Genomic DNA, 12,285 nt, shown 5'->3' with positions numbered 1-12,285 from the left:
GAGAAAGAGCTTAGAAATGGGCCACTGATTTATCTACTAGGTTAAAAGTATGAAATTGCTTTTACAATGTTAGCAGTTTGGATATTTCTTAAATGATAAGTAACTCATGCTTTAAAATTTAAAAGATGTTCTGATAGCTGACATTCTCAAAAATTCATGTAAGCTTTCCTTGAAAGTGAAATATAATGATTCATTCACTTCCTCGCTTTTCAAGTCCGACCTACGTGGTGTATAAATATTTACACAGGAAACATGAATAAGCAGATATTTGATTATGTATTATATTTTAGATATGCCAACAGTAGCACACATACACATGTAAGAAACAACTCCATTCTGTACAGGCCCGGGTTAATCTCGATTCACAGATGATTGGAGAGACTTCACATTTAGCTTTTAAAGCTGTGATTTGAGGCTACTGCTCTAAGCAGCAATTTTTCAAGATAAAATTTAGCAATTTTGAAATTATAGAACTAAACACAATTTTGTCAGCCATAAAAAAATTAACACTATAATTAACAACTGCTTCATAATCCAAACTGCCATTGAAGATGACAGTTTGAAACCACAGAAGAATCATGAAGATGATTAGTTATACAAACTGGTTCTTCTTTCAGAAGGTTTATATTCATAGATCATTTATCACCAAAATGAGAATATATGAACTTCATTGAATTTTGAAATTACTATACACACATTAATTTGCTGTTTATAATATTAGATATTAGGGCTTTCTTTTCATTGAATCAACTACTCCATAATACATGAAGTCATAAGTATTTCTTTTCAATTCAGAAAAAACATTTGCTTGAGAAGATATTAATCCTATAAGTCCATTTTCATATACTAATGCTACCTGAATAAGCACACTATTTATATAATAATTAGTTTAATCATGGTCTTTTACATATATAATTATCAAAGTGAAAGCCACAGCTATTACACGTACTATAAGATGAATACTTACAACATTAATTGGAATTAATTGCGCCTTTTCTTTTTTAAATTAAGCACTTTTCCCAGAAGAAATAAAGTTAATACCAAAATTACAATCATAGATTTTACCCAAAATATTTAATTTCAAATACATATAATTTGTTATGACAAATGAATTAATATATTATTTCAAAGTGGCTTATTTTACATAATTATATTTATTAGCATCTCAAATCTGCCCATGCAAATATATCTTGGTGCCCCTTGACTTAATAGCACAGCATTGGGGCTGTAACACTAAAAATTCAAGTAAAAACTGAAAAATCCAGTTGAAAAGCTTGATGCTTTGTTCTTATGCCATCAACTGCTATCTAGATGTTATCGACAGAACCAGGTATTTGGATTTTCACATTTTATCTGGATGTTTGGTATCACTGGAAGAATTTACGCCTAAGTCTTTTCTTTTTCAAGGAGAGAAAATCAAAGGAAGTATTTGGTATCAGCTAAAGAAAATAATATTGTTTATCCACCTAAGAATAAGCCAGTACTTGCAAAGGCCTTCAAGAATCTAGGAAATTAATGGCCACACTCATTTAATGAGAAACACCAGTGATTCAGATGATCATACCTGGATCTTGCTAAGCTGAGACCAACTGTGCTCTTCTGGAGGCTGCAAAAACCGAGCCATGCAATCAGGTTTGCCTTGCTCAGGGGACAAAGGCCTTCATAAAGCACGGTTATTAAAACTGGCTGATTGCAAATGCAGTTCTTTTTATTAAGGGACTCTTGTTTGAATTAACCTCCCAAATCTAAGTTTAACTTTTCAATTTTGTGTTTCGTATGCCCACTTCCTCAAGGAGGAGAATTATTTATATTCAAGGCACAGGCTGCTTATGGAGAATTGATGTAGGCCCTGTATTACTGGAAAACATGAAGGAGTTCCACAAAGTACACTATTATTGCCTAAGTGTGATTCCCCTTAAAAATCATCATTGTATTGTATTTATTTTGTGTTACTCAAACCCTTTTTAGCTCCCAGTACTTCCAGTTTATCACATGCCACTACATCAAACTACTGTTGAAAGCATAAAAAAATGGCCCATTGAATCTCTTTTTTTTATTCTTATTCTTGCTGGCTATGAAACTATTTGAGGCACTTGTTAACAGTTCTTACATGTAACACCTTGACCATCATTCTAAAATATATTGTGTAGGCCATTCTTCCTGTTGGCGTTACAAATAAACTTTTCTCTCTTGATTTTTCGTTTTGGCTTTAAAATATATTCAAATGGACATTTAAAATCATGTTTTACTTTTTTGGCAGTGTTACATTTGATCTCTCATGTTAACCCACATCTTTCTTTTCCAAGAATTTTTCAAAGCCCATATATCCAATGTCAAATGTATTATACTTATTGAAATTTGTAATGAAATGAATACTATTCTTTTGGCCCCCAAATAGTCGTATCAAACAAGCTATTTGAAATGCTATCAAAGTTCAGAGTTCAAATTTAAAGATTTATGCATATTTTCTTAGGTAACTAGTGAATAGGATACCAAATCAATAAAGCTAGGATAAGATTTGTCCGTCTCTCAAACCATGGTTTTTAAGTTTCCATTTTATTCTTCAAATCCTACTTTGAGCTGAAAATGATTCTGTAATTTTATCATTTGACTACTGTAAAATATAATCAGGGATTTGAAACCTGTGTGAATTTATCACAACTGAAAACAAAATCTTCCCTGGAAGAGGTTAATGGAAAAAGAAATAATAGGAGGTGGAAGATAAACTGCTTCTTTCAAAACTGGAGCTGCAAACAGCATTCTAACTAATTCAGATAAGCAGCAAACATAGTTGTTAGGGGATATTTATGACAGCTGCATCTGTGTGACAGCACTGAAGCCTTAACAATGGCGGTGGGCTTTCTATAAAACACATCTGCAAGAAAGACAGGTAGATAGGCTGGCTATCAATCATCAGGACACGTGAATAATTCTATACATACTGGCCTATGTGCTGTTGAAGTCAGCTCTATATGCATAGAAAAGCTTGCTCTTCAGTAATGGAGACATGGCAATGAGTCGTTTTTATTTTTAATTCTTTAAAATGTGTGTTCATACATCATTTGAAAAAAAATCCAACAATAGCTCTGTTTTCAGGTATATTAATAGTTAATTTTTGACTTATTATCCTACCCATGTTTCATTTAATTGAATGGAATCCTTCCTACAATCCAAAACAAACAAATTGCAAGCCATAGTTTGGAGATTTCTCAAAACTTATTCAGAAGCTAGGCTCATTTTTAATTTTGAATCTCAGAAAATTTAAATGGTGCATGCAACCACTGTCTATGTAAGTAACTTTTGAAGGCACAAATAGAGTAAAAATTATAGCCAAATAATAAAAAGGGGTCTTCTCTGTCTTTTGTCAGATTCAGATTCGCATAACTTCCATTTATGCTAATGGGAGTTCAGCACCTGCTCTGCAAAGAAAATAGACCCCTATCTGTGAAAATAAATGTGTACAGTGTATTTTCCAGATATAATGCTGAAATCAAACAACCAAAAATGTGTGCTATATAAACACAGCATCATGTGACCTACCTGAAAACATTGCTGTTTTATATTTTACCTCTTGAGTCATAGGCTGTGGGATATTACTCATGTCTTTGTCATTTAAATGTAACAAAAAGAAAAAAAAAAGGGAGATGGACAAACTCAGTCTGGTGATTTCAGTGAGCTCATACACAATCCTGTGTTTACCCCTTCAGAAGTTCATAATAAATTGCACCACTAAATCTGGATTCAAGCCACTGTGCTCTCTGCTATCATCTTAAAAGTCATAGAGGATAATTGTACATAATAAGAGAAAGGCATGGTCATGGGGGTACTGAGCTGGGGCTCCCTGCAGCAGCTGCAGCCTCAGCTGGGACAGGAGATGAGGCAGATGACTGTCAGTGACTGGTAACACCAGAGTCCCTTTCTGCAATGCCCTAATCAGGGAGTGCCAGGGCTCACAGGAAGGCAAGACTACCTGGGCTTGAATGGAGATGTTTCCATCAGTGCTCACAGCAGTCTCTCTTCAGGGAGTTCTCAACAATGGTGTGGACAGAGAAAGCCTGTCCCGCTCCACTCCAACTGGGGTAGGCATCTCAGAGATCTTTCCCCAAATTATATTATTAATATATTTTCAGGCAAAATTATGATGTGATCAAAAGAGGGTTGTGGGAGGTGAATTGGGATCTCCAGTACGGCTTTAGCTCTATATGTACCTTGACGTTTATAATGTAGAGTCGTGGCCCTTCTCATTAAACATTTTTAAGTAGTTTTAAGAAACAGGTAATGAGGCAGGGTGCAGTGGCTCAAATCTGTAATCTCAGTACTTTGGGAGGCCGAGGCGAGTGGATCACCTGAGGTCAGGAGTTCGAGACCAGCCTGGCCAACATGGCGAAATCCTGTCTCTACTAAAAATACAAAAATTTGCTGGGTGTTGTGGCATGCGCCTGTAATCCCAGATACTTAGGAGGCTAAGGCAGGAGAATTGCTTGAACCCGGGAGGCAGAAGTGTGCCATTGCACTCCAGCCTGGGCAAGAGCAAAACTCCGTCTCAAAAAAAAAAAAAAAAAGAAAAGAAAAAAAAAGAGAAACAGGTAATGAGAAGATTGTAGTGTGTCCATCCATTTAACTACATTTCTACAGATTTCTCTTTCTTCCTAATGATCTAGGTTAAGGCCTATTTTTTTTTTTTTCTGATTTGCCTCATGAGTGGCATTAAGAGTAACACTCTAGTTGACAGGACCGGCTAATTTGCAGGGTTCAGTGAAAAATGAAAATGTGGCGTTCCTTCCTGACAAATTTTTAACAATTTTAAGACAATGACCCAAGCTCAGGGCTCCCCTAAGCACGGTGCCCTATGCAATTGCACAGGTCCTATACTCTTCAAGACAGCCTCACTTGTGGAACAAGGTCTTGGCAAAAGCTAGCCTACAGGCCCCTCTTTTCTCCCCAGCCTAAAAAAAAATCTCCTCAAATCAACACTGGGAGAATGAATATGAGATGTCTTCCCACAGACATGTATTCAACGTACTGAGGAAAATGGACCAACATTGTGTGCTCTAAAAAACCTACCATCTACTTTTTAATACAGATTGTATTACAAAGCTTATCTAAGAGCATTTTGTCTTCTTTCTAGAGGGTTCTACAAAGCAAGGTTTTCTATCTAAAGGCCAGCATGACTGTGGTTATGAGTTTCGTTTTAATAGGGACCAGGGAACCAATTTTGAATATTGGTAGTGGTGGCAGAGCCTACTGGCAATTTAGTCTTCAATACCTTATTTGTTTCTTCTTGAATAGCTCTTTGCTCGACGACCCTTCCTGCAGTCAGTCATGCACCAGCCTTAGATCAGACCTCTAATTCCAAATGTGCCACCCTGCCATGAAGCATTCCATCTGGCCTTCCGCAGTTTAGGTGATTTGGAAGGCTGAGAAGGTACTTGTCTAGAGGGTGCACTTCTCTTTAAGCACAGTTATGTTCTGTCAGTTCTGGGCTGGTGAACGATCCTATAGTAATCACAGTAATGGCAGCATTTGCCCTTAAGGGATCTACCTCTTTCAGAAGTGGGCTGCAGCTAAGCCTCAGATGTAGGGAAGTCATTTTTCCTTTTAGTACATTGTACCTCTACAGACGAGGTCTTCAGCGATTTAGAATAAAGCTTTGTGGTGACAAAGAGAAACACAAAAGTTCCCCTTCTACCCAAATAAATATAATTTATAAAAATACTTATAAAACCACAGTTAAGGCAATTATTTTGTTAAGTCTGAGTTTTTCTGAGCTATAGATTGCTTTGTATATGATCAAACAATACCTAAAGAACTCTTCAAGTGTATAAGCTTATCCTGATTTTCGGTCATTCAGAGAAGGGCTAGAGATTGTAATATTACCTACTCTCAATAAAATAGTATATCCTTTCTTTTTCTTGGTAGTGAATTTGTAGGGATAAACAGCCCTACAAATTGTTTGGCCTATTATATGTCACAGAGATTTTTCTATAGCCTGTCTAGACTCCAGACAATAGGCGAGACTGGCCTATAGTTGCAGACATTTCTATAGTCTGTAATATCACTTAGAAAAGTAAGGGCAATAACATAAAAATGAAAACCAGCCTGACCTGCCAGTACGATAGTACAAATATGAGTATAACAACACTTTACAATTTAGAAATGATGATAGCATCCTAGAAAGAAATTTTAGCAGCCACATATCAGCCAAAGTAACTTTTGTAAAATCATATTTACTCACAAAATATGTCATATTCAAGTAATTCTGTCCAAAAGCTGTAAAATCACTTTTATTGCAGAAAATTCTGTATATATGTCATATTGTGTTTCCTTATTGCATAGAGACAGTGTGTATGAATGTATGTGTGTGCATATATATAGTGTGTATATATATAACATTTAAGTCAAAATAAAGACTTTCCAAAAGGCCTTTTAAAATATAAAACAGATTGTTAAACTAATCTGTTTTTCAGTCCTTTTAGAATACAACAAAGAGGGATAAAATAATATTGTATACAATCTTAAGTGAGTTAAGGGACGTTATGTGTATGCAAAGGAGATAGAGCAAAGAGTTTTTAAATTTTATCTATTTTCTGCCATTGTATCTCTGAGCATGTCTTCATGTGTATTTCTCTCCCACAATTACACTTGTTATAAACAAAGGAAAGGAAAAGGAAGAAAGGAAGAAAGGAAGAAAAGAAAGAGAGAGAAAAGGCTTTTTTTTTTTTTAACATTCTCCTTTGCTCTTTTTTATTTTTTAGGAAGTGACCAATAAAGAATATCTGTTTTTGTTATTGTTGTTTAGTTTTACTTTGATGAGGGCCATGAGAAAGATACATTAAACATAAAGAATACTCATTTAAGAAAAATACTGCTGTAACACTACTGGCGGTATTTCCGACTCAGAGGGTATTCTCTTTCCCAAAGACTCCAGACTATATCAATAGTCACCAGACCATTTGCATCTTCACCACTGGGGCCAATATTAACAGAGTTTTTGTCACTGTTGGAACTCAGCTTGTGGTATCAGGAGTAGTCAAGGGGATGTTAAATGAAATAGATAACATGCAGTAAAAGCAAGAGATTTTTTTTTTTTACTTAGAATTATGCATCCAGAATAGAAAACTCCCATTTCTAAAGTCATTCGGTTTTTGTTCCTGGCTGAATTTTAAAAAACACCGTCTAGCTTGTTCCAACATAATCAACTATACCATATAGCAGTATATAATATGTCATCAAAAGTTCCATTGTAGAACAAACCATTTAGGATTGCCAAATTTATAGAATGCTGATTGATGAAACCATAAAGAACCCTTCTCAGTGTGATCAGCTAAACCCATCCACCAGGCACTCACAGAGTACTTTCTAGGTCTAGGATGCTATGCATACAAATGTGGTATATTTTCCCCCTGGAATGCAATGTTAGATTCATATTATGCCAAAATAGCATTACATAACGCTCTTATTTTGTTTTGCTTGAAAGTTCAATATTTTCTTTTTCTTTAAGGAAAAAGTTCCTTACCTCACCAGAAATGAAGGTTTTGGTCAACACTTTCTCATACAGTAAAAATAAACACACAATCTTAAGTACAATTGATAGATAATGTAACATTAAATTAAGATCGTATGCAAATTCAAGGAGATTTGTCTGAAATAAAAGGTGTAGTTGTTTTTTTTTTTCCTTTTTTACATGCCATGACATTCAGGAATACTTTGTGTATCATGTAATAAGACATACTAGAAAGGTATATATCTCATATGATAAATTTGAATACCACCAAGTGGCACAAAATTCTAATTAATCACATTCTCAATTGGCTACACTTTAATGAAAGAAAAATAGTATATATGTTAATTGAACATACCAACCAAAACTCAACTTTTCAATTTTAGCATGATATATTTGGCAAACTTTTCTTTTCTTTTCTTTTTCTTTTTTTTTTGAGATGGAGTCTCTCTGCCACCCAGGTTGGAGTGCAGTGGTGCAATCTCGGCTCACTGCAACCTCTGCCTCCCAGATTCAAGTGGTTCTCCTGCCTCAGCCTCCTGAGTAGCTGGGATTACAGGTGCCTGCCACCATGCCCGACTAATTTTTGTATTTTTAGTAGAGATGGGATTTCACTACGTTGGCCAGCCTGGTCTCGAACTCCTGACCTCGTGATCCACCTGCCACGGCCTCCCAAAATGTTGGGATTACAGGCGTGAGGCACCGCACCCAGCCTCTAAACTTTTCATTCTCATGAAATTAGTGGGAAGTGCCACACTCCATCACAGGATGATGGGACATTCTACAGGACTCTAAAAGGAGCTTAGATTGTTAACTTAAGTGTTCTGTGCATGGAGACAGAAGATCAAATTAGGCCCTAAGGAAGTCTCGCCAAACTAGCATTGAAGTCAATGGAAATTTACAAGCACGTTAGAGAGGGTCCTTGTGGCCTACAAGTTCTTGCTAATAATTTCACTAGGTTTCTAAAGTAGATACACAAGTCAAAACAGTAACAACAACACAAATACACACGTACCTCTCCAACGTCATAGACCCAAATACGGCCTTCCGAGTCCCCAACAGCAACTTCTTTGCCAGCTTGGGCCCAACGAACACGGTTTAGGGCGGATGCCCCCTCAATGGCCACACTTGCTGTTGGAACCTGCCAAAGGGTTCACAACAGAATAAAAGAATCTCTGAATATGAATTTAAATATACAAATTTACAATAATACGTTTAACTGGATGAGTCACCAACTGCCTTCATGTGCATTAAGTAATACACATCCCTTGTGCCGGGGGGAAAAAGGGCTCATTGTTCTTAAATCATATGCTCCACTGAATTAAGGGGTAGAGAGAAGAGACACTTTAACAAAAAAGAAAAGGAGGGAGAGTCTTTTTACATAGTCACCGGGCAGTAAGTGGCATGAATATTTCTTTGGATTATGACAAGTGTACATCCAACAAAAAATACAGGAGCTAAATGGGATCCTTCCCCATAGGGTCATAGTTTATGGACAGATGGAGAGAGACAGATCTCAGGATTTACCAAGATTAAGGATACTAAAAAGGCAGAAAGCAGGTGTATGGTGGAATAAAAAAGTCATATTAATGTGAGTCTTCAAGGAAAAAGTAAACATATGTATTGATCTCTCAAACCTCATCAGGGAGGAGATGATCAGAAGAAAAAAGGAAAACATAAAGATAAAAAAAATTTTTCAAAAAACTCAAATTCTCTCTCTCTCTCTTTCTCTCTCTTTTGTTAAATCTGTCTTCCTCCCTCTGGCAGTACCGAAGTGTAATAAGCGATCCACAACTTTGGCACTGTCTCCAGGGTGACATCGTGATAGAATACAGCCACCCACTCATAGAAAATGCCTTATATCTCCTTTAATAAACACTTCAAATCTAAAAGCATTGATAATTATAACAATAATAATAATTAAAGTGAACTGGAGGTGCTGCAATGGAACCTGTAGTATTTGTTCCAAGAGCCTCAGTATTTGGAAAGACTTTTTAGTGTGTCTACCTCTCTCCCATTATCAGTTGTGTAAAAGCTTGTCTTCAAGGTTAGAAGTTTATAATTGACATAAAGCTCAGATCTCTTGAGCCTTTTACAAGAATGTTGAATAGGAAATGACAACATGCCATTAAGAAAGGAAAAGGTAAATATTAAAACATAAAGAAAAAATACAGTGAAAAGGGGGCCACTAGGATCATCTCATGCCACTGTTTAAGACCTGTGTCTAATAAACATGTCGCATTAGAATGGAAACACAACATGTACTGTGGCTTAGCACCACCGGCATTTTGTTATTCAGGGAATTGAAACCATCTGTTTATACGAAATTATTGACCCAATACCTATCTTTAAAATAGCAATAAAAACTCCATCATATATAAGAATCTATGTTTAAACTTAATCTTGAAATCAATAAAAATTCTTTCACCCGCTTAAATCACTGTATGTCAATTGTGAGCAAAAAAACAAAAAAACAAAAAAAAACCCCAAAAGTCCCCGGCTCATTTATTTTTTAAAAATACACAATTTCTATAATAAAAGTACCTGCTGTGCAAGCTAGAGTCTGAATTTTTAACCAAATCTTTCAGAGGCTGAAACAATGTGAATTTAGATGGATCATAATGCTGTCAATACACTTTATTATGACTGTGCTGCCCAGAAAACAAATCTGTGATTCAACTATAGACTCTTCAAAGTTAATTTTTAATACCATAATTTAGAAGGTTCATACAGGATTCTTGCTTAATTCTATTACCTAATTCCATGAACAATCTGATATTGAATAGAATTAGGTAATCTATGAACAATCTTAAAAATAGAATAAAATGTTTAATCTTAATACGAATATAACAAAAAAATCACTGAAAATAAACTGACATTGTGACACATTTAAAATAATACCTAATACATTTTCAAGAATTTTTATTTGGAATATAAGTACTATAACAAAGTGAAACAATATTTTAAACATTTAAAAATAGTTTCTTTTCATATATATTACAAATGATAGAAAATAATGATCACAGCCTATATTATGCGCTAGAAAATTCATAAATGCATGAAGAAAATGACAAAATATATTTGCATTAATCCGATCAGTAATGACCTTTCAAAAGTTGATGAATAATAAAAAACAATTCATATGTTCTCTCTGTCTCTTATACTGTACTTTGTTTCACAAATATTTCCACAGTTTTCCTGGCTCAATCATTTTAATTGCAAAGGCAAGATTTATATATCATAAATTATTACATTAAGCAGTAGAAATCAGAAATACTGAGGTGGGAAATATGAACTATCCTTGCATAGGAACAGCTGGAATAACCTGGTCCAAAAATGTAATAATAAAAACAACAACCAAACATACTGCTCTACTGATAATTCAGATTTTTTTAAGAAATCTAATTTTTAAGAAAAATCTTGTTCAACTTGCCAGAAGACAAAAATGATTTGAAGGTTTTAAAAAGTGTTCGGTTCATTACTGGATTTGAGCTGGACTCAATGTATCTCTACTATTATTGTTAAAGCAGAATTATGTTTACCACAAAACTAAACAGTTTGCATGACCAATAATGATTTTTAAAAAATGTTTAGCTATGAAACTCTTATGTGGTTGTCTCTTGATATCTAGAGAAAGAGAAGGGAAAAAATTATATTTATCAATGTTGAGACATTAGTTTCATTTTACCTAAAAAAAATTTAAAAGAAAAACAGTTACATAGGAATTGTTAAGGAGTTTGTAGAACACTCACTCCCTTCATATGCATTGTAGTTGGGTATCACTTAAACATCTCAACTAAGCTGGATTTCTACTACAGCGGTCTCCTAAGTCAATCAGGAAAATGTTAGTTTTTTTGGTTGCTTTAAATGAATGAATTTCTCCTAGCAAATAGAAGCAATATGATTTTAATAAACAGTGATGAAGACTCTGGGAAACCCTTACAATGTAGGGTAATAACATCTTTCTATTAAAAACAATAATGTTATAAACATTTCAACATCCAAATGATGGGACATTTCACATACTCATGCCTTTTGATTATTTTCAAAGATGCTTCATTACCTAACTCATTCTTGTCACAGAATTCTTGTAGCTAAAAGCAAAAATAGACTCAAATTGAAAGATTTTTAAAAGATAACTACTTGGCAGCAATTATAGGTGTATATACCCTTGAAGATACAAAGACTTAATAATAACACCTGAAGAATATTTCCCTGCCCCCTCCCACACACACACACACACACACACACACACACACACACAAATACTAGGGAAGTGTGCTCCTCCTCAGATCCTCCAGCTGTGGGCTTCCTAATTAAAAAGGCTGAGCTGTTTCCTGCTCAAAACACTTCAAAAGACCTTTTTGTTGTTCTCCACTTGACATATAGTTCGCAGCACTTGTTCCTCTTACCTGTCCATTCTTATTTATAGAGAGCTTTCTTGAATCAGAAACCAAGAAGTGATGCAGAGACCATTTTATTTTATAAAGTTGAAGGACAATAATATTTATGTTAAAAAAAAATCCAAGTAGCTGAATTAGCAACTCAGTAATTTTGCTAGACTGGCAAAAAGGAACAATGCATGTGGCATAGTTTTTAAAACATAAATTTTTATAGCATAATTTAAAAACAGTATTTATTACTGGCTGATTTTTAAAATAAATGGGTATTTTCACTTGCTGTAAATGTGACATGTTAAAATCTATTTTTAAAAAAATACTGAGTTTGATATTCATGTTTAAAGTTGGAGACTGTTGTAAAAGTCTGCCTCTGAATTTGATATC

General features: G+C 34.8%; 1 protein-coding gene across 5 annotated transcripts in view; it reads right to left on the bottom strand.

The window, feature by feature from the left end:
• DYNC1I1 (dynein cytoplasmic 1 intermediate chain 1) overlaps positions 1–12,285 on the bottom strand; it is a 337,769-nt gene that overhangs the window by 21,318 nt on the left and 304,166 nt on the right. For all 5 annotated transcript variants that reach the window (NM_001278422.2, NM_004411.5, NM_001278421.2 and 2 more), the window contains one exon: positions 8,517–8,642. In NM_001278422.2, the coding sequence (NP_001265351.1) occupies positions 8,517–8,642 (126 nt within the window). The remainder of the gene's footprint in view (positions 1–8,516; positions 8,643–12,285) is intronic.

Source organism: Homo sapiens, chromosome 7 (genome assembly GCF_000001405.40).
Source record: "Homo sapiens chromosome 7, GRCh38.p14 Primary Assembly".
Lineage (NCBI taxonomy): Eukaryota > Metazoa > Chordata > Mammalia > Primates > Hominidae > Homo > Homo sapiens.
This window is presented reverse-complemented; position numbering and strand designations above follow the sequence as displayed.